Here is a 23,067-nt window from a genome sequence, read left to right as displayed (position 1 = left end):
TACCATTTAACTCCTATTTTTAACACCTATCAGCTGAGACCTAAGCATCATCCCCACCCTGACTCTTACCCTAACTGTAACTTCTAAGAATTTTTACCTGAACCCAGTCTGAAACCGGAGCCCTCACTCCAACCATGGAATGAAAGGACGTACTCACCTGAAAAGCACCAACCACCATTTCACCCTGGGTGTGACACAGGCTGCAGCCATGCTGTCTGCAGAGGAGCAGGAAGACAGGACTAACAGGGCTCCAAGGGAGCATCCACAGCTGTGACATCCACTGTCATTGCAATGGGAAATCAGGGCAAGAAAAGAAAATCATGGCTGGGCACAGAGGCTCACACCTTTAACCCCAGCACCTTGGGAGGCTGAAGCAGGTGGATCAGTTGAGGTCAGGAGTTTGAGACCAGCCTGGTCAACAGGGTGTAACCTCATCTCTACTAAAAATACAACAATGAGCTGGGCATGGTGGCACATGCCTGTAATCTCAGCTACTGGAGAAGCTGAGGTAGAAGAATTGCTTGAACCAGGGAGGCAGAGGGTGCGGTGAGCCACGATTGCGCCATTGCACTCCAGTTTGGGTCAAGAAGTGAGGATCTGTCTCNAAAAAAAAGAAAAAAGAAAGAAAGAGAAAGAAAGAAGGAGAGAGAAAGAAAGAAAAGAAAGAAAATCATAATTGTGAAGATTATAAATTATATCCCTTTGTATGTTGGACTTAAGTACTCAAAACACAACCAAAGTATTAAAGTCTTTTGTGGGTTTCTCCAAAGCCTCTTGATTGATTGATTGATTGATTGATTGATGATTTGAGACAGGATCTCACTCTCTTGCCCAGGATGGAGCATCACGGTACCATCACAGCTCACTGCAGGTTGGACGTTCTGTGCTCAGGCGATCCTCCCACTTCTGTTTCTTGAGTAGCTGGGACTAAATGCACATGCCACCATGCTCTGCTATTTTTTTTNAAAAAAATTATATTATTATTATTTTTTCTGCAGAGACAGGGTCTCTCTATGTTGCCAAGGCTGGTCCGAAACTTCTGGGCTCAAGTGATCCTCCCACCCTGGCCTCTCAAAGAGCTGGGATCCAGGACCCCTCTTAAGGAGGCCTGACCCTAGCCACCATCCCTCCTTGGCAGAGCCTTCACAGCACATGAGATCACTCAGGCCAGCACACTTGCATGAGACCAGCTTCAGCTGGGAACTAGGTTTGGTCAGAAAGTCGAAGCGTTTGGTTCCTTTGTTGCTTTTAGCTCAGGTAGTCCCTGGGCTATTTGCTCACTGTCACTACCTCTGCCTGCCACACATTAAGGACCCCAGTGCCACGTTGATGAATAAGCTGAGAGTGTGTTTTGTGGTGGACGATGGGGTATTTGCTTTGTGAGAAACTGTTCCCAGTTTTCAGTGTGCCCATTATGGGCACACTGAAATAAATCCTGGGGATCCCTAAGGGCCCCAGCAATGGACAATGCTCTGCTGAACCATGGTACCTGGGCAGTTTATTAACATCTTCCACCCAAGAGCCCTCTAAATGAATGCACTACTGCCCCGTATACTTCATGGGGTTTCTGTGTATGTATCAGATGAAGTTTTGCGTATGAGAGCATGTCGTGACCTTAAAGCTCTTAGNAGNAAATGGAAGNNAAGTNTATGACCCTANNACTCCCCTCCTTTTCTATTNNNNCTNAGGGGANAAAGGGCTGTGTCACAATACCCTCACCCCNAGTCCCACTTTAATCTCCATCAGCCCTTCAGGCACACAAACCCAAATAAATACAATTAAGCAACTGCAATGTGCTTGCTGCATAAATGCAGTCTTAATACACATCCCACCTAATTACCACCGAATACCTGTGCTATCTAGAACTTGAGTCATTACAGTCTTTGCTGCCCTGCACATTGAAGTTCCACAGCCTCCAATCTGTCCTCCGTAAATCTTTTCATTCCAGAGGCATACCCATGGGGAACTTGAGAACACACGTGGCTTCAGTTACTAGTTTTGGATACAGCACAGCTAAAATGAAGCAGCTGAAAGCTCCAAACACACTCACTGTCCAGGCGGAAAGAATTCTCCTGGGCTGACAAGGCCACTCTGCTATCCCTAACCCACAGCTTCCGGCCCAGGGCCAAAGATCCACTGCTTGCCAATCCTAGGCCAACAGGCAGTGGCAAGGTGGGTGGCAGGTAATGGGTAGATCATCATTTCGACTTAGGTTCATTGGCCAGAGCTTGTTTGGGTGGTAACATCTAGCTGCAAGGGAGGCTGTGAGATGGACCTTGCTAAAATTGAGGAAGATGGAGATACTCCATTTCTAAAAAGGGGAGAAATGGATATCGGGGGAAATCACAGTATCCAACATACCACTCTAATCAGGAAAGTTCTATTTGCAGGTGTCTCTGAACACTGCCTCTCTCAAGGTCTTGAGACAGGCCCAGGAGAGCTGGACCCAGATCAATCCCTATCCTGCATCTCACAGTGAGTGGCATAGAGAAGCCTTCGATAGACTTGGTGAATGCCTCCTACAGGTAAAGGGCCTTTATCCACAGAGGTCCCCACTACCCACATCTGCTGACCCTATCTCACACCAGGGGCCAACCAGCCAGAGGAATTTCCTGCTTTCCTACTCATGTCTCACTAATTTCAAAGGGGACCAGGTCCAATGCCCACTCCCCACCCTCCACCCCCCTGCCCTGCACTCACATGACCTCCTTCAAAAGACCCCAACCCCCTTCAAAAGACCCTCAGACCTGGTTACCCCAGGCAGTGAGCCTATCCTTCCAACAACCTCACATATGTGAAGGCATGTGGGGCAAACATCACCCAGCCGTCAAATACACTCACAGAGCCCTCCTGTCCAGGGCACAGCTGGGGCTCATGCTGCCTGCCAACCCCCATGCCTCTCCCTTCAGCTCCCACTCACGTTCCTCCCTCAGAGCATCACTCTCCTGAGACGGCTCAGTGACCTCACTGTGAGAGGCAGTGCCACCACTTCACAGGATGATGGCCAAAGAAGGAGACAGGGCTTTAACAGCTGAGTGAGTAGTCGGCCAGCAAGTTTCTCCATACTTTGCCAAGCAGGACAGCAGGGCACAAGGAACACCTGGGGTGGAGGCAGACCATGCCCACAGGGAGGCCACACCCACAGAGGAGAGGCCACGCCCACAGTGGACAGGCCACACCCACAGGGAGGCCACACCCATAGAGGAGAGGCCACGCCCACAGTGGACAGGCCACACCCACAGAGAGGCCACACCCATCTCCANTCCCCATCCCCACCGCATCCCACGTGGGGCTATCAGAGTCACATCAAGAAGGGGTGCCTGGGATCCCCCATTCCTGCTAGTGGGAGTACAGCTTAGAACAATGTTTTTGAAGGCAATTCAGTGGTACATTTCAGAAATCAATGTGCCTTCCTTGTGATCCACCAATGCCACTTATAGGGGTTTATTCTACAGAAACAAAGAGGGACGGCTATAAAGATTATGAGAAATACAAAAGTAAGAAACCCGGATGAGTGTCCCTTGAAAAGAAAAATCAGACATAACAGAGATTAAATGCTAAACCTACGTCCTCAAGTTGCCATCCGATGGAGAAGACAAAAAGTAAGCAAGTCCCCCTCCCGAGAGTGAGAATGCAATGATAGAGCCATGCACAGAGGAGCAGTCCTTGGACGGAAGCCCCAGGCCTGCAGGAGGAGGAGGAGTTAGCTAGGCAGAAAAGGGGACCAGAGGTCCAGCCAAAGAGGCTGCCTGCTCAAAGACAGGCCCTTGAGACCACCACACACAGAAAGGCCCCCGGGTCACTGGGAGGATCGGGGCCAGGCTGCAGATAGGAAAAGGGAAGTGGTGGGCTTCACAGACCGCAGGGGACCAGCAGCCCTGACACATGCCTGGAGGAGAGGGTCCACTCGNAGGGACTNGAGTGACCCCTGAGCTGCCTGAGATGGGGCTGGGAGACAGGCAGTCCGGCAGGAAGAGAGTCCAGAATGACCTTTCCTGGAGTAGGTCACTGAGCGATGATGTTTATGAAGGTGGAGACAGACGCCTCCTGAGAAGTTTGGGGAGAGAGGAGCAAGGTCAGAAACGATGAGCTCTGTCTGCGTTGCACACGTTGAGTCTCGGTGACCAGTGACCCAAAAGAGTGCTTGAGACCATGTCCGAGAATCTGTGGATATGTGTAGGCAGGAAAGAGAGGAAGAGGACCTGGAATTCTAGGACTTTCTCACCCCTGGAGGTCACAGGGATGTTAGTGCTTAGCAGGGAGTGAAAGTCCAGGCACTCACTCTTGGCAGTAAAATTGGGAGATCGAGATCAACAAGAAGAAGATATCAGAAGGGCATGCAGAGGTACAGAGACTGGGACATGAACCAGGAGACTGAGAGACTGGATCAAGGTCATCTGAGGGAGCCCAGAGGGTTTCCCAGTATGTCCTTAGGCCTGTGGGCATTATCTGGGGTTTCTGTGGGATGCTCTAGAACAATTAAATCAGGCACATATTGAGGACAGAGGGGACTACATATCAAGCTGGGTACGGTCTGAATCCAAGCCCGTCTTCCTTTGGGGCTAAGGATGGCTCCAGGAAGTTGCTTGTTCACTGCCTTCTGTGTGATGCTGTTGGTTTTACAACTTGAGTGATCAAGCAGCATCTTCCGGGAAGATTTCCCCACATATCTAAGAATAAGGAGTTGATGCATATCCATTTAGAGTGAATGAACTCTTCACACCTAGCTTCAGGATTCTTGCTTTGGCTAAGACCTCAAGGCCAGAAGACATGAGTGCTTCCTTAATGTTTGTATTGCCAGGGCCCGGTACAGGCCGCCACCATGGCAGAATTTGATGAATCAGAGACATTATCTTGGAGATGGCCGTAAACTGGACCACCAAGAAACCATGCTGAAATAGACAAGAGGAAAAGCATGCAGTTTCATCTAATAGGAAATCAGTAGGGCCTGCAACTGCTTTGAACCTCTGAAATGCTTTGGGAGTGTGCACGAGGAGATGAATCATGCTGATGAATGGATGCTGTGTGGCTGAAAACTGACCACGCTTTTCTGCCATAAAATCACATTCTGATACATTCACCAAGTCAGTGAAAAGCTTTACGGACTGACTCTTTTTAAAACAGATCCTGAGACTCTAATCCATGCTTAGTGTAATACTTGGAACAAAGACTGTGCTTCATGTTCTAGGTGCTTTTATTTGTATTTTGTAAAAGTGTCCCAGAGTTTTAATGCAAAGTCAGAGACAGCTGCGTAAGGTTTACCACCTGCCTTTTGTCTTCCACCTGGGGGTGGACATGCAGGTCACACCGCAAGCTGGTTGAGGAGAGAGCCCTTTGCACCAATCTAGGGGATGCAACCAGGGCCACTTTGTAGGATGTGGGCAGATGGCTCTGGAATGCAGGGAATTCATTCTATTCTGGCCAACGGTGCCATCTGCTGAAAGAGCTACTGGTAAGTCAATTTAGGCATGAAGCTTCCATTGAGAGTCAAGATATTACTGCATCAAAAAGGCAGAAGAGGCTAGACACAGTGGCTCACACCTATAATCCCAGCACTTTGGGAGGCCGAGGCGAGTGGATCACCTGAGGTCAGGAATTCGAGATCAGCATGGACAACATGGTGAAACCCTGTCTCTACTAAAAATGCAAAATTAGCCGGGCGTCGTGGCACATGACTATAGTCCTAGCTATTTGGGAGGCTGAGGCAGGAGAATCGCTTGAACTCGGAAGGCGGAGGTTTCAGTGGGCCAAGATCGCGCCATTGCACCCCAGCCTGGGCAACAAGAATGAAACTCCATCTCAAAAATGAAAATTTTTAAAAAAGGCAGAAGAGGCCTCTTTGAGCAGGGGAAGAGTAAAGGGTAAAAAGAAGGGATGCCTTTATATGAGAATCAGGTGATAATGAGGCATAACTACTCTGCCATTTCCTTATTTCAATCGAATATCAGTTCTTTGCCTGCCTCATCCGAAAATATATTAGAATGCATTGCAAATGCAACAGCCTGCTGGTTCAAATATTACAGCGATGCTTTCCTATTACCCAACGAAATTATCTTAGAGAATGTTTTCTTAGAACATATACATCAGCAACAAATGTTCAATCATAAAAGAGCCTGCTCTCATCATAAAAGAGCCTGCTCTCATCATAAAAGAACCTGCTCTCATCTTTTTTTCAACAGGGTCTCACTCTGCTATGCCCTGGAGTGCAGTGGCATGATCACAGCTCACCACACACTCGACCTTCCAGTCTCAAGAAATCCTCCCACCTCAGCCTCCCCAGTCTCAAACAATCTGCCCCTCTTGGCCTTCCAAAGTGCTAGGATTACAGGCATGAGCCACTGCAGAGGGGCCTTCCAAAGTGCTAGGATTACAGGCATGAGCCACTGCAGAGGGGCCTTCCAAAGTGCTAGGATTACAGGCTTGAGCTACTGCACCCAGTCAAGGAATACATTTTACTGGGTCCACAACATACTTCCTTTTTGCTCCTGATGGTTCAGTTATTAGATGGGTTCTTAGAAGCCGTGATTTGAGGAAGATTTAACCCCTACCCATTCCTATTTTCTCTCTCATTTTCTGTCTGAAACAAGTCAGCCTCTCAGAGGCTCCCATGACCCCCAGTTGTGTGAAAAGGCAGGCTATCAGGCCAGGATCTGAGGAGTCTTTTCTCTCTCTCCTTTCTTTTCTCTTTCTTTCTTCTTTTCCTTTTCCTCCCCCACTCCCTTCTTTTTGCTTAGATGAGGTCTCTCTCTGTCACCCAGGCTGGAGTGCAGTGGCACAATCATAGCCCACTGCAGCCTCGACCTCCTGGGCTCAAGCAATTCTCCCACCTTGGCCGCCTGAGTAGCTGGGACTATAGGTGTGTCCCACCATGCCCAGCTAATTTTTTTTTTTTTTTGGAGAGACAGGGTTTCACCATGTTGCCTAGGCTAGTCTCAAACTCCTGGCCTCAAGCAATCCTCCAGCCTCAGCCTCCCAGTGTGTTGGGATTACAGGTGTGAGCCACTGTGTCTGGTAGGAGAGGGCTTTTGTTTTTTCCAATCTGGCTGCTGTACTGTGTAAAAGCCTTTCCAGCTGAAGGCTCAGTTAATTTTTTTTTGGTCTATACCCGCCTGAACCTAGAGCTCAAAGCCCTAGCAAATCCAGTTCAAGTCTCAGCTGGAAACTCAAGCTCCACACGCAACAGCAAGCTTTCCCAGCCTTTCCTCCTGCTTTTGCCTGCAGATCATGCCAATCAAGAACTGTGGAGCAACAGATGATTAAGATAAAGGAGCAGCACCTCTCAAACTTCAGTGTGGACATGAATCACCTGGGGATCTTGTTCAAGTGCGGATTCTGATTCAGTGGGTCTGGGTGGGGTATTGCTAACAAGTGCCAGGTGGAGCAGATTTTGGGCCTTACACCACACTCTGAGCCACAGGCATTGACAAAGTGATCTCACTCTCATCAACCTGGTCCAGAGCCAAGTCTAGGGCTACTTGAAATTCCGTAGCCTTCCAGCCTTTCCTTTAAAAGGCGTCTTCCCACTCCAAAGCCCCGAGCTTACTGGGTGGACCCCACTCCCACCTTCATTGCCTACAGTGCTGTTCATTCCTCCACATACTCCTTTGTCCCTGCATTTCTTAAAATGTGACAGTTGGAGCTCCTCCCTCAGGATATTACTGAGCCTCTTCTAACCACAAAACAATGTTGCCCACTGTAATGGGCAACTTGCAGTCAGCATTGAGCCTGTGACTTTTCTCAAATCCAAAGATTTGCATTCAGTTTAGGAAATTTCCCTTGAAAGAATGGCAGCACCTCTGTCCACAGTCTGCTTGCCAAGTGTGTGTCTCTTGGCATTTTTTGTTTGCTTGCTTACTTACTGCGCACGTGCCTTGTTTTGGAACTCTGTTTACATATCCGGTCCTCTGGCCAGCCTAGCATTTCTCTAAAGGGCAGTGATTATAACTCAGTGGCTTTGTAATGGTACTCCCTGGCACTAAGTCCCAGCATATAACAGGGTAAATACTTAGCAAAAATAAAGGAAAATCAGATTTCTATGAAAGTAATTTGTGTTAAAGGCTTTAGAGGTGTGTAGTTTGTGGCCTAGTAGTTCTAATTTTAGAAGTCCATTTAAAACATTGAATATAAGCAAATTTTTAAAACAGTGTGATATAAAAGCTTAACAGTGGAAACATCTTAAATATCCAACAATAATGAAATGATTATAAATTATGCCTATATTCATATAAGCACCTTTTAGAAAACATCTTCTCTAAGAACATTTAATAAAACCGTTCTGGCCGAGTATAGTGGCTCACATCTGGGAGGCAGAGGTGGAAGCATTGCTTGAGGCCAGGAGTTTGAGACAAGCCTGGACAACATAAAGAGACCCCCATCTTTACAAAAAACAAAAATAAAAATAAAATTAGTCTGTGTGGTGGCACAAATCTGTGGTCCTCAAGAGGCTGAGGTGGAAGGATTGCTTGAGCCAAGGAGTTTGAGGCTGCAGTGAGCTGTGATTATGGCATTGCACTACAACATGGGCGACATAGCAAGATCCTGTTTTTAGAAGAAGAAAAAGTTCATTATATAGCACAAGGTGAAAAGTGCAAGTTGTAAAACGAGATAAACAGCATGGTCACAACTTTGTAAAATATACAAATATATATGCAGAAAAATAAGTGAAAATAAAATACACCAAAGGTTAATACAGTTGATTGCTGAGTAGCATGACTACAGGTAATTTTTACAGGTTTTTTCACTTCTTTATATTCTGCAGGTTTCTTTTGCAATGAATGTATGGTGAGATTTATAATTATATGGCTTGTAGATTACAATTCATAGTATACTTCAAAATGATTTTTTAAAAACTGTCTTGTCTTCTGAACTTCATCACAAATTCCTCAAGGGCAAGGATTGTATCTTTGGTTTCAGCAAGCCCGTTTCAGAGGCCTCTTGATTGGTAAATATTCATTGATGCTGCTAGTAATTGATTCTTTGTCTTAACAGGTTCTCTTTTTCTAGCTGCCTTAGAAAAAGTCTCCTTTCGCATCAGGCAGGTGCTTCTGATCCTCTCCCTAGAGATAGGCTATCTAATAAAGCCCTCTAAGCCTTTATTTTTATTTTTTATTTTTTGAGACGGAGTCTCGCTCTGCCTCCCGGGCTGGAGTACAGTGATGCGATCTCGGCTCACTGCAGCCTCCGCCTCCCGGGTTCAAGCGATTCTCCTGTCTCAGCCTCCCCATTAGCTGGGATTACAGGCACCCCCCCCACCACACCCGGCTAATTTTGTATTTTTAGTAGAGATAGTGTTTCACCGTATTGGCCAGGCTGCTCTAAGCCTATTTGATAAAACCCTTCTCCCAGGCCATCAGCAACTTGACAATTAGTACTGACAGGTGATGCCTTTTGGGATCAGGTCTCCAGTGGTTCTCGTTAGCATTCTTCACTTGAATATTACCCAAAACAATGGCAAAAATCAACCCCTATCCTAGGTTGCTCGGTGGAGGCAATCAAAACGAGACGCCTTGGGCTGGCCGCGATGCTCCTTTCCCCAGGCTCTGGGATTGTGGACAGGAGGGCGCGCACCCACTGGCGATCCGACGCGGAGCTGCAGCGTGGGGGCGTGGTGTGGCGGGTCCTCCGGAGCGCGGGGCGGGGCTGTGGGCGGGGATATGGGCGGGTCCTCCGGGGCTCGGGGGCGGGGCGGGGCGCGGGCGCGGGCGCCGGGAGGTGGGGCGGCGCGCGCCGGCGTCCCCCGCGCTCCTCCCGCGCGCGGCCCCTGGAGTCCCTGAGGCGCGCGGCCAGCCCAGCTCGGGCCCGCAGCACCGGGAGCAGCCCGCCGGCCAAGCGAGCGCGGGCCGGGGCCGGGGCCGGGGCCTGGGGGCGCCGCCCCCGGGAGTCTTTCTGCGGCCCCTGAGGAGCGAGGGCGACGGCGAGGCTGACCGGGGCCGAAACCATGAACCGAAGTTTTCACAAGTCTCAGACCTTGCGATTCTACGATTGCAGCGCAGTGGAAGTCAAGAGCAAGGTAAGCCCCCCGCCCGCCCCGGCGGCCCTGCGCCCAGTCTCCTGGCTAATGAATGGGGCGCCCCGCGGAGGGGGACTGGGGCGGCGTGGAGGCGACAGGCGCCGGCGACAACTTTCCAGTTCGGGCGCCGCGCGCCGCTCCGCGGGACGCGCACTGGGGACCCCGGCCGTCCTTCCCGCCCCCCGCGCGGACACAAAGCCCGGCAGCCGCGGCGCTCAGAGGGCCGAGGGCCATCGGACAGTCCGGGCAGACTCTGGACCCGCTCCGCGGGAGCTGCTCTTTTGTTCCACGAGTGAGAGGCGATCGGGGCGCGCCACACATTGGAGGGGAGGGCGGCCTTTCCGGGGCGAGTTGAGGGCCAGGGGCTGCTCGGATTCGGGGCCGTGGGGGGGCTCTGGGGGCCCGGGCCGTGGGATGGCCCTGGCCAAGGCGCCTTCAAGGCTGCAAAGGAGGCTTGTTACCTGCCAGGAGGAGACTTGCCGCCGGCTCCGAGCCCGGCGTCCCCCACCCGCTCGGTACCAAACATCTAGGCACCAGGCGCGCTCCCCCGCGCAGACCCAGAGCACGCACCCGGCTCTCCCCCGGCCCAGACCCAGACCACGCCTCCCCGGGCGCGTCCCCGGGCCAGACACCCCACCCCACCCCCACGGGCGCGCCCCCACCCCAGACTCCCCCACCTCCGGACGCGCCCCCGCCCCAGACCCAGCCCACTCCCCCGGGCGCGCCCCCGGCTCAGACCCAGACCCCTCCCGAGCGCGCCCCCGGATCAGACCCGTACCCAGACCACCCCCACGGGCGTGCCCGGCCCCTCCCGCTGCCTGCGCCCGGGCGGAGCGTGCCCGAACTTGCGGGTCGCGATGCGCGTCTGGGTAATTGGCTGGTAGGATCTGGCGCTTCTGCCCTTTGCGGGGGTGGTTCCTTCGCCGCAGATGCTATTGTTTGTGAGGGTCTCCTTGGTGGACCCCGCGGGCTGAGGAGGTGCTGCAGTTGTTCGGGGTCCTGCGGGAGGGGGCCCCTCGAGTCTTTCGCTGGCTACTCTCTGGGAGTTGAGCGGCCCTTTCGCCCTTTCTTTCTTCGCACCCCGGTTCTCAGAGTTGTGGGAAAGGCTCCTAACGGCGGAGTGGGAGCCCGCACCCCTAACTGTGTGCCTATCTTGGGCGCAGGGCGGGTGTTCCCTCCCCTGTCTCTGGGGAGGCAAGTCCAACAGCCCCCTCTCGCTGTGCTGCTCTGACCTTTGGAGTAGGATTTCCAGGGTGTCTGCAGAGGATTGAGGCGGGGAGGTGTCCCAGCAACAGCATGGCCGCCTCTCCAGCCTGCTACAGTGAGTTGCAGGATCCTTCTCTGCTTAGGGGTACACGGTCTTTTAATGAATCCCTCATTTATCATAAGATCCTGTCCTTACCCTTGCCCCATGACCTCGGCCCCACACCCATCTTCTCTGGAGCACAGAAGTGCCCCCAGCTCCCCCAAATCAAGTGTGCCAGCTGTGGGTTAGGTGAGGGGAAGAGCCCACAAGCATGGGCGGGAGGTTTCTTTAGCTCAGTGGGAACACAGCTCTCTGGAGCTGCACTATCTAGTACAGTAGACAATAAGCACGTGTGGTATGTAATCTTATTTAACTTTTTATTTTGAGATTATTGTACATTCACAAGTAGCTGTGAGAGAATATAGAGGTCTGTGTTCTCAGCCTCTGAGCCTTTGCTCAGCCTCCCTGATGGTGGCATCTCGTGTGACTAGCACACTGTCGTATCCTGGACACAGACCTTAGCGGGTCTCAGCAGCGTGACACACTCATTCGTGTACGCCTAGGTCTGTGCGGTGGTGTGACCACCAACACAATCAAGGTGCAGAGCAGTTTTCCCCTTTCATCCTAGGATCCTTCCTGCTGCCCTTCACAGCAGCTGTTTAACCAGGGAGGACTGGTTGGTTAACATGAGCGTTAAAGACTCACTTCTGTGCTCATTTGCCCTCTGCAGAGGGTGGCTGCCTCCTCACACACATAGCTCCAGAGAATCAGAGGCCTCAACCAGGCACAGGGTAGGTCTGGAGGACATGCCCTCACCAGGCCTCATCCTGCAGTCCTGGGCTGCTGGCACTACAGAGGCTGCCTCTGCCTTCCCTGGGGTGTCAGCCTGCCTGCTTCTGCCAGCTCCACTTGGCAAAGAAGGGGTGCTGCCTTACACCCCAAGCATGGATTCAAGTTCAGATGCAGCAGATGCTTGTCTGGAGGTGAGTGGCAGCGCCAGAGTTTTGGTTGAACTGGGGTGTCCTTGGAAGGGCCACACTGACCTGGGCCTTACTGGACTTGCTGTTGTGCCCTCCCCACCGTGATGGGGCTGAACTTGCTGCTTGTCCAGAGGGTCCGTGTGGCTCTTCCTTCTGTGCACAGCTTCCCACTTACCCACTTTATGGTTAATATTTGTTACTGTAGCATCTATCTCCATAGGGAGCCGCTGTTGTCAAAATAACAGCAAAGCCTTATGACAACCTCAATGTAGCACCATAACACCATGGTTTGGTTTGTGGGGAAAATGGCGTCTGGGGAGCTGAGTCCAGCCTGGGTTCTGCCACCTACTGCATTTGTGAGCTTTTGGGCAAGTCATTTAACTTTTCCAAGCATCGGTTATTTCATCTGTAAAATGGGCATGATACCTTTTCTGCTTACCTATCAAGATGAAATGCATTGAATACAAGAGCGCTTTGAGTTAAATACTGCAGGTCAGAATTCTTTGGCATTTTAAGATATTGGGTTGGAAAACTGCCTTAGGTTCTCTCAGAATTTTTGTCATTCACCATTTGCCACAGATGGTCAGTCCCCAGTGCTTAGGGACAGGACCCTGGTGTGTGTGCGCGAGGGGCCATATGGTCTTGATCTTGACCTGGTGGCTTTTCCTCATTTTGCAGCCCTTATACTTCTCCAAACATTTTTACCTGAATTCCAGTGATTCATCTGTTCCTCACCAAACCAGCTGCAGTATGTACTTCCAATTCCCTAGTTCTGTTCATGGGACCACCCTTTTCCCACTTAGCTTCGACTTTGGCCTCTCCTTCCACAGGACCTGCCGTGGGGAGGGAGGAGCTACGCAGAGGGTTAGGGTGTTTCACGTGGAGGAGAGCAAGAGTCCTTGGCCACCTTAGAATGCAGCGGAAAAGCCAGTGCTGGGATCGGAAGGGGTTTACAGGGGGCGGTAAATGGAGATGAATTTTCATATGAGGAGAAGACAGCAAGCAACACGGTGCCACTACGAACTTAGCAACGCCTTTACCTACGTCAGTATTGCGTCAATTCCACTGTCGTCCGCATGAGCTTGAAAAATCCAGAGAAACACAGCTCATCCCCGCTCCCAGCAGTGTGCTCAGCCCAGAGCCCCGAGTTCCTTCAGACGTGAGCGTAGATGGCCCGCTGCTCATGCCCTCGGCCCACGCTTTCTTTGGCCTGTGTTTCCCTAGTTTGTGGCTTCCCCTACCTGAAATGCTTTCTCTGAGAATCTGCCCTATCCTGAGGACCTTCTTAGACAGCTCCCTCTTCTACAAAGTCATTCTGGATGCCTGTGCCAGAACAAACTTTCTCTGTCCGACCCCTTCTTGGTGTTTCTGGTCATCTTATTGGCACTTGTCATGATGCTGGTGCCACAGTTATGTTCGGCACAGATTGTCTGTCGTGTTAATTATATCTGAGGGAGAAGGTTTTCATCCCATTTGTGCTTCCTGATTAAATAATGATGGGGCTTTTTTGGATTCTAAGCTAACACAGTGTCATCGTAGGAAATTTAGAAACCACAGCCAAGCACAAAGAAGGGCCAACACCATTGGTAGCTCTCCTGTCCAAAGGTGAGCCACTGTTAAATGTTGCCTCTGGCCTTCCGGTCTTTTGTGTGCCTGTATGATGCACGCATTCTTGTGTTACAGAATTTGGGTCAAATAGGCATGTCATGGTGTAGCCGGCTTCCCCTCTAACTTATCATGTATTGCGAGTGTTTTTTCATGTCAGTAATATTTTTAGACAACAGAAAAGACTGCATCATATTCCTGCTCATGTCTAAACCATGACTAACCAGTATCTTAAGTTAACCCCAATTTTTTCCACAGTAAACAGTGCTGTAAATAATATCTTTAAGTCTTTATATAAAGATTATATATAGAATATACACATATAAAATATGTAAAGATTATTGATTATATTAAACCAGTGCAAAATTCTTACTGATCTTTAGAACAAATTCCTGGAAGTGACATCACCTGGGAAAGGCACGTACTTTTACAGGCTTTGAGTGCGTATTTCTACTTTTCTTCTGGAAAGTTTATTTTACCAATTTATAGATGCTGTTTCATATCTATTCATTCATCTGTTTCTTTCTCCCCATCCCTTTCTTCTTTCCTCCTTCTAGCGCTGGGCATTTTCTCATTCTTTCCCAATTAGATGAGTGAAATGGTATCCCATTGTTTTAATTTGTATCTCTTAAGTTATTAGAGAGTTGAAATTTTCGTATTTATTGGCTATTTGTGTATTTATTTTCAACTGCCTGGTTTTGTCCTGAATCCTTTTTCTCTGTTAGTTTTCTTGGGAGTTAATAAGTTATGGGAGCTTCTTGTTCGCAATGTTTCCAATCAGTGCAGATGGTGCTGAGGGTGACTGGCTCTGAGAGTGTTGTGACCTTGCCCCCAGGCATTAAACTTGGGCCCTCCAGGATGACAAGGGTATGAGGAGCCTGTTGGTGGGCTGGCTGATGCACTGGCTGGCCAGGTTCTCCTGGGGACAGCCAGGTGTGCAGTGTTTTGTGTTAGCATATCTCCTCTGGTCCCCAAGATCTTACTGCTGGCTGAGGCCGTTGGCTGCCATGGTGCTGCAGGAACATGCCCTTCCAGCTGTGTGATGTGCGACAGCCGGTGGGATGGAGCTGAGGCCAGGCCTCCCCATTGGGTGGCTGACACTTGCCTCCTGTGGGCCAGTTAAGAATTGCCTGGACATGGTTTGACTCACCTGTGTGTGTCAGCTACACCCTTTTAAGACTTTAGTTTTGTTGTATTTGTGCATGTCTGTGCTTAAACAGGTTCAGTGACTTGATTTGGGAAGTCACATCTTAGGGAGACTTACCAGGGACCCAAGTGCAGAGTCAGCCTGGGGGGCACTGATGGCGTCACTGCCCCTGGAGGCTGCCAATTTCTTGTAGGTCTGTGGCCTGGGAGACTCTGATGGCCTTCCAGGTGGGCACCCCAGCTAGCCAGGGGGTAGAGCCCTTTCCTAGGACCCATGGCATTTCAGATAGAAGGCCCTAATTTTAGGGAAGTGAAGGAATATCAAGGATTGGGAGATGCAGCCATTCAAGGTCTCAGAAGCTCTGGCGTTTGTGAATCACGTCCAGAATTAGTACAAAGGGGAGAGGCATCCTGATCTTTTCCCATAAAGGGGTCTCCATGACCTTTAGAGGCAGCAAGAAGGGAGCCTGGCATGACAGCAGCAGAACCTTCCAGGTGGTTAGATGTGTTCACTTGGCTGCTTACATGTCAAATCCACTTCCTCTGGGCAAATTTCTACTGCACCATGACCCTGGGGATCCATGGGAGGTACATGCTCCTGTGTAGGCCCCAGCCTCTTCCCAACACACACCCTGCGGCCCTGCCCCGAGTCCCCCAGGCTGGACGTTGCCTGCTGTGCAGAGAGGTTGTGTTCTGGAGTATTAATAACATTTACTTAATGCCCCTCCAATATACGTGCATATATGTGCCAGGGACCATCCTAAATACATTGCAATTGCAGATAGTTCACTAATGCCCATCACAATACTGTAACGTGGGCCAGGGACCATCCTAAATGCATTGCAATTGCAGATAGTTCACTAATGCCCATCTCAATACTGTAACGTGGGTTCGTTTATCACACCCACTATACAGATGAAGAGGAAACTGAGTCACAGGGTGCTTCACTGACCTGCCGAAGGTCATAAAGCTCATAAGTGGGGTTGGAACCCAGATAGTCTAGCTCCAAAGTCTAGAGTGGGAACCACCAGTTGTCCGTGGCTGCTGGAAGAGGGCTCACACCCCTCTCAGGATCCAATAAGCCATGAAATACAAACCAGGACACAGGTGCACACATTCCCAGCTCACCGTGCATAGGGTGAGAGACTCCCTCAGCTGTCTGAATCTGGAGCTTGCAAGAAACAGCTGGGAGGGTTAGTCTTGTGTTTTATGGGGAGAAGTTCTATTTTTCTTGCATCACTGTAGAAGGTTCTTGCTGCATGGCCTCACGGGAAGTCCTCTATTCAGTAGCTATTCTTTCAGAGTCTGATCTTATCCATACATTTGTTTACTCATTTACTGAGCAACTACTTTGTGGCAGGCATAGGGCATGTGCTGGGGTAAAACGTACAACATCCCTGCCTTAAAAACACCAGTGAAGGTTCAGTCAGGTAAGTGGGCAGATTTGGGTGAGGTGGAATGTCCTTTGTCTTGATAATCAAGCTATCACCAGATCCACAGCCTCACGTCTCCTTGAAATCGGAGGTTTCCGGTGCAGCCCAGTCATCCCACCACCCCGCAAGACCAGTCAATGTGCTGAGTCTCCCCTGAAATTGCTCTGATAGTCTCTGCATCGGCAACAGTGATGCCTGTGTGAGGTGGTTTGAGATTCTAGGCCAGGTCTCCATAGCTCCCAGAAGCAGGTAGGGTCCAGTCCCCACTTGTCCTTATTTGGGGCTCTTTAATCCTCCCCACATGTTTTCAGAGGCCAGTTCAGAACCCTAGCTGCGTTTCTCAATGGCGTGCTGTGTAAGGAAGAGCTCAGCATTGGAGGTGGGAAGAGCAGTGCCTTGTTTATATTAGGGACACAATCAGTGTTCCTTGGGTCGAATTCAGATGAAAAACAAGTGGGTTTTCCTGACAGCTACTGGTTCAGAAATGGTCCGTTGAGCAAATTTAGAAAATTACTTTTTGAGGAAAGGGACAACTACTTGCACTTTTGAGCTGATGCTGGAACAAGTTAGGACTTTTGGGAACTATTGAGAAGGGATGATTATATTTTGCAGTGTCATAAGGACATGAGATTTGTGGGAACAGGGAGAATGTTATAGCTTAGATATTTGACCATCAAAACCTCATGTTGAAATTTGGTCCCCGATGTTGGAGGTACAGCCTAAACGGAAGTGTTTGGGTCATGGAGGTGGATCCCTCGTGAATGGCTTGGTGCCATCCTCATGGTAATGAGTGAGTTCTTGCTCTATGAGTTCTAGCAAGAGCTGGTTGTTAACAAGAGCCTGGCTCCTCCCCCGTTGCCTCCTCTCTTGCCACATGATCTCTGCACATGCCGGCTCTCCTTCCACCTTCCACTGTGAGTAGAAGCAGCCAGAAGCCCTCCCCAGAAACAGATACTGGCACCATGCTTCTTGTACAGTCTGCAGAACTGTGAGCCAAATAAGCTTCTTTTCTTTACCAATTAAAATGTATTGATACATTGATTTGCCAGTTGGCTCATTGCCGGGGCATCCCTGAGAGGCGTCAGTGGCCTTGCCCTCTGTATCCTGTGAAGGTAAGTGGCACTAGTGCTGTAGCTGAGGGGAAAAGGTGAGGTACTTTGGAAATTAAAAGCCCACATAGCTATTTCTGTTGCTGTTGGCACCTCCTGAGTTTCTCAGTGCTCAGAGATAGGCCAGGAACCTGCTTGTTGCCAGCTCAGCAGCTCCAGGGGTGCTTGTGCCCCTTCCTTGTAGACCAAGCTTGTCCAATCCATGGCCTATGGGCCACATGTGGAACAGGATGGCTTTGAATAACGTGGCCCAACACAAACTCATAAACTTTCCTAAAACTTTATGAGATTTTTTTTTGGTAATTTTTTTTTTAGCTCATCAGCTGTCATTAGTGCATTTTATGTGTGGCCCAAGATGATGATTCTTCCTCCAGTGTAGCCCAGGGTACCCCTGTTGTAGACCAGCAGCCCTACACACTTCCTCTTGCAGAGTTGCCTGGGCACACTCAAGTGCTCCAAGGACCAGCCCACTGGGAATGGGGTGGCTGGACCAGAGCACTTCTGGTACAGCTGTGTCATCAGGTACCTTCGACCCCCTCTTCTCCCTGCTGCTCCCATGTTCCTGGGGTCTAAGGACGAGCTCTCCTGTACCCTGGCCCCTGCCCCACCTCTCCCTTATTCTCCCTTCACATCAGTCACTCATCCCATACTTCATAGACAGTGGCAGAGGAGTCTAAGAGGGGAGGGCTCCACTCCCCAGCCCCAACCAGAGCAGATCTGCTTGGTTTTGAGATACATGTGTAGCATTTCACTTGGGGGAAGAAAAGGCTTTCGCTGATTAAAAAGTTTGAAAACCACTGTAGTGCAGGATGCTTTCAGCCTGGGCACCGAGGCCCTCCCACGTGGCCTACGTGAAACTACTAGTCTATCTGTCACCTCCCACTTCCCCCGCCCGCCCCCCGATTCTGTGACCTCCCAGCAAGCCGATCCTTTCCTACTCTTGCCAGTGGAAGTTCAGCCTTGCCTTCCTGCCTCAGGGCTCAAATCACTGCCTGTTCAGGAAGCTGTCCCAGACCCCCTTAGCCCAACGACAGTGTCTGCTGTGTTCAGTGAGTGTATTACAGTGAAATACACTCATCTTAAGTGTACGGCTTGGTGGTCAAGATGCAGAACATTCCAGCATCCAGGAAGGTTCCTTCATGCCCTTTTCTAGTGAGTACCTACCCCCGAGGTAACCACTATTAGGGTCTCTATCGCCAGACCAGTTTTTTGTTTTTATTTTTATTTTTTTTACTTTTGGTTAAAAAAATAGTTGTTTTTTTTTTTGTTATACTTTAAGTTTTAGGGTACTTGTGCACAACATGCAGGTTTGTTACATAGGTATACATGTGCCATGTTGGTGTGCTGCACCCATTAACTCATCATTTAACATTAGGTATATCTCCTAATGCTATCCCTACTCCCTCCCCACACCCCACAACAGGCCCCAGTATGTGATGTTCCCCTTCCTGTGTCCATGTGTTCTCATTGTTCAATTCCCACCTATGAGTGAGAACATGCAGTGTTTGGTTTTTTGTCCTTTCGATAGTTTGCTGACACTGATGGTTTCCAGCTTCATCCATGTCCCTACAAAGGACACGAACTCATCATTTTTTATGGCTGCATAGTATTCCGTGGTGTATATGTGCCACATTTTCCAGTCTATCATTGTTGGACATTTAGGTTGGTTCCAAGTCTTTGCTATTGTGAACAGTGCCGCAGTAAACATACGTGTGCATGTGTCTTTATAGCAGCATGATTTATAATCCTTTGGGTATATACCCAGTAATGGGATGGCTGGGTCAAATGGTATTTCTAGTTCTAGATCCCTGAGGAATCGCCACACTGACTTCCACAATGGTTGAATTAGTTTACAGTCCCACCAACAGTGTAAAAGTGTTCCTATTTCTCCATATCCTCTCCAGCACCTGTTGTTTCCTGACTTTTTAATGATCACCATTCTAACTGGTGTGAGATGGTATCTCATTGTGGTTTTGATTTGCATTTCTCTGATGGCCAGTGATGATGAACATTTTTTCATGTGTCTTTTGGCTGCATAAATGTCTTCTTTTGAAAAGTGTCTGTTCATATCCTTCACCCACTTGTTGATGGGGTTGTTTTTTTCTTGTAAATTTGTTTGTGTTCTTTGTAGATTCTGGATATTAGCCCTTTGTCAGATGAGTAGATTGCAAAAATTTTCTCCCATTCTGTAGGTTACCTGTTCACTCTGATGGTGTTTCTTTTGCTGTGCAGAAGTTCTTTAGTTTAATTAGATCCCATTTGCGAATTTTGGCTTTTGTTGCCATTGCTTTTTGTGTTTTAGACATGAAGTCCTTGCCCATGCCTATGTCCTGAATGGTATTGCCTAGGTTTTCTTCCAGGGTTTCTTTGGTTTTAGGTCTAACATTTAAGTCTTTAATCCATCTTGAATTAATTTTTGTATAAGGTGTAAGGAAGGGATCCAGTTTCAGCTTTCTACATATGGCTAGCCAGTTTTCCCAGCACCATTTATTAAATAGGGAATCCTTTCCCCATTTCTTGTTTTTGTCAGGTTTGTCAAAGATCAGATAGTTGTAGATATGTGGCATTATTTCTGAGGGCTCTGTTGTGTTCCATTGGTCTATATCTCTTTTTTTGGTACCAGTACCATGCTGTTTTGGTTACTGTAGCCTTGTAGTGTAGTTTGAAGTCAGGTAGCTTGATGCCTCCAGCTTTGTTCTTTTGGCTTAGGATTGACTTGGCAATGCGGGTTCTTTTTTGGTTCCATATGAACTTTAAAGTAGTTTTTTCCAATTCTGTGCAGAAAGTCATTGGTAGCTTGATGGGGATGGCATTGAATCTGTAAATTACCTTGGGCAATATGGCCATTTTCACAATATTGATTCTTCCTACCCATGAGCATGGAATGTTCTTCCATTTGTTTGTATCCTCTTTTATTTCATTGAGCAGTGGTTTGTAGTTCTCCTTGAAAAAGTTCCTTCACATCCCTTGTAAGTTGGTTTCCTAGGTGTTTTATTGTCTTTGAAGCAATTGTGAATGGGAGTTCACTTATGATTTGGTTCTCTGTTTGTTATTGGTGTATAAGAATGCTTGTGATTTCTGCACATCGATTTTGTACCCTGAGACTTTGCTGAAGTTGCTTATCAGCTTAAGGAGATTTTGGGCTGAGACGATGGGGTTTTCTAGATATACAATCATGTCATCTGCAAACGGGGACAATTTGACTTCCTCTTTTCCTAACTGAATACCCTTTATTTCTTTCTCCTGCCTGATTGTCCTGGCCAGAACTTCCAACACTATGTTGAATAGGAGTGGTGAGGGAGGGCATCCCTGTCTTGTGCCAGTTTTCAAAGGGAATGCTTCCAGGTTTTGCCCATTCAAGATGATATTGGCTGTGGGTTTGTCATAGATAGCTCTTATTATTTTGAGATACGTCCCATCAATACCTAATTTATTGAGAGTTTTTAGCATGAAGCATTGTTGAATTTTGTCAAAGGCCTTTTCTGCATCTGTTGAGATAATCATGTGGTTTTTGTCGTTGGTTCTGTTTATATGCTGGATTACGTTTATTGATTTGTGCTTGTTGAACCAGCCTTGCATCCCAGGGATGAAGCCCAATTGATCGTGGTGGATAAGCTTTTTGATGTGCTGCTGGATTTGGTTTGCCAGTATTTTATTGAGGGTTTTTGCATCGATGCTCATCAGCGATATTGGTCTAAAATTCTCTTTTTTTGTTATGTCTCTGCCAGGCTTTGGTATCAGGATGATGCTGGCCTCATAAAATGAGTTAGGGAGGATTCCCTCTTTTTCTATTGATTGGAATAGTTTCAGAAGGAATGGTACCAGCTCCTCCTTGTACCTCTGGTAGAATTCGGCTGTGAATCCATCTGGTCCTGGACTTTTTTTGGTTGCTAAGCTATTAATTATTGCCTCAATTTCACAGCCTGTTATTGGTCTATTCAGAGATTCAACTTCTTCCTGGTTTAGTCTTGGGAGGGTGTATGTGTCGAGGAATTTATCCATTTCTTCTAGATTTTCTAGTTTGTGTAGAGGTGTTTATAGTATTCTCTGATGGTAGTTTGTATTTCTGTGGGATCGGTGGCGATATTCCCTTTATCATTTTTTATTGCTTCTATTTGATTCTTCTCTCTTCTTTATTAGTCTTGCTAGCGGTCTATCAATTTTGTTGATCTTTTCAAAAAACCAGCTCCTGGATTCATTGATTTTTTTGAAGGGTTTTTTGTGTCTCTATCTCCTTCAGTTCTGCTCTGATCTTAGTTCTTTCTTGCCTTCTGCTAGCTTTTGAATGTGTTTGCTCTTGCTTCTCTAGTTCTTTTAATTGTGATGTTAGGGTATCAATTTTAGATCTTTCCTGCTTTCTCCTGTGGGCATTTAGTGCTATAAATTTCCCTCTACACACTGCTTTGAATGTGTCCCAGAGATTCTGGTATGTTGTGTCTTTGTTCTCGTTGGTTTCAAAGAACATCTTTATTTCTGCCTTCAATTTGTTATGTACCCAGTAGTCATTCAGGAGCAGGTTGTTCAGTTTCCATGTAGTTGAGTGGTTTTGAGTGAGTTTCTTAATCCTGAGTTCTAGTTTGATTGCACTGTGGTCTGAGAGACAGTTTGTTATAATTTCTATTCTTTTACATTTGCTGAGGAGTGCTTTACTTCCAACTATGTGGTCAATTTTGGAATAGGTGTGGTGTGGTGGTGAGAAGAATGTATATTCTGTTGATTTGGGGTGGAGAGTTCTGTAGATTTCTATTAGGTCTGCTTGGTGCAGAGCTGAGTTCAATTCCTGGATATCCTTGTTAATTTTCTGTCTCGTTGATCTGTCTAATGTTGACAGTGGGGTGTTAAAGTCTCCCATTATTATTGTGTGGGAGTCTAAGTCTCTTTATAGGTCTCTAAGGACTTGCTTTATGAATCTGGGTGCTCCTGTATTGGGTGCATATATATTTAGGATAGTTAGCTCTTCTTGTTGAATTGATCCCTTTACCATTATGTAATGGCCTTCTTTGTCATTACAGTCACCTTGACTTGGTGACTGGTGAGTCTCACCAGTCACTCACCTGGGCTTGAGTGATCCTCCTGTCTCAGCCTCCCTCCCGAGTAGCTGGGACTACAGGTGCACACCACCATGCCCCACTAATACTGGCTTTCAGTGATGCAAGTCTGCCCTATGGGGGTGATCTCGGTCATTGATCTTACCTATGACTCAGCATTGGGATTGTTCCTGGCTCTGGTGTACACAGAGACTGTGACCCCTGTCTGGATTTGGGGTGAGGCAGTTGTAGGTCCTGGAGGCCTTGAACCACAACTTATTAGCTATTTGTGGATTAATCAAAATCAGAAAAGATCCTTTATCTTACAGAATTTAAGGTCCCTACTGCTGATGTGTGAAGGGCTTTCACAACCCTTCTTCGAATTCTGTGGTTTGATTGGCTGTTCTTATGCATTTCCTGGCTTTCCTTGAGTTCACACCAGCTGATCAATCTCTGGGGTCCCTCTGGTGGGCTGGATGTTGTGGGAGAAGCTGGGACCTGAGATGAGAACA

The 23,067-nt window shown here is 48.3% G+C and overlaps 1 protein-coding gene across 1 annotated transcript in view, besides 3 other annotated features; it reads left to right on the top strand.

The window, feature by feature from the left end:
* Positions 9,547-9,606: a silencer, noted in NCBI's record as "silent region_9595". NCBI's record gives its function as "represses an Ori minimal core promoter by ATAC-STARR-seq in GM12878 lymphoblastoid cells {active_cell/tissue: GM12878}" and the evidence as "EXISTENCE:reporter gene assay evidence [ECO:0000049][PMID:35858748]".
* Positions 9,772-23,067, top strand: part of PARD6G (par-6 family cell polarity regulator gamma) — a 90,283-nt gene continuing 76,987 nt past the window's right edge. Inside the window, exon 1 of the mRNA NM_032510.4 lies at positions 9,772-10,009. Coding sequence (NP_115899.1) covers positions 9,938-10,009 — 72 coding nt within the window. The 5' untranslated portion in view covers positions 9,772-9,937. The remainder of the gene's footprint in view (positions 10,010-23,067) is intronic.
* Positions 10,633-11,132: an enhancer, noted in NCBI's record as "H3K4me1 hESC enhancer chr18:78004037-78004536 (GRCh37/hg19 assembly coordinates)". NCBI's record gives its function as "activates a minimal SCP1, AML or CMV promoter by ChIP-STARR-seq in naive H9 embryonic stem cells {active_cell/tissue: H9 hESC(naive)}" and the evidence as "EXISTENCE:reporter gene assay evidence [ECO:0000049][PMID:30033119]".
* Positions 11,133-11,634: an enhancer, noted in NCBI's record as "H3K4me1 hESC enhancer chr18:78003535-78004036 (GRCh37/hg19 assembly coordinates)". NCBI's record gives its function as "activates a minimal SCP1, AML or CMV promoter by ChIP-STARR-seq in naive H9 embryonic stem cells {active_cell/tissue: H9 hESC(naive)}" and the evidence as "EXISTENCE:reporter gene assay evidence [ECO:0000049][PMID:30033119]".

Source organism: Homo sapiens, chromosome 18 (genome assembly GCF_000001405.40).
Source record: "Homo sapiens chromosome 18, GRCh38.p14 Primary Assembly".
NCBI lineage: Eukaryota > Metazoa > Chordata > Mammalia > Primates > Hominidae > Homo > Homo sapiens.
The sequence above is the reverse complement of the archived record's forward strand: the minus strand, read 5'-3'. Positions and strand labels throughout refer to the sequence as shown.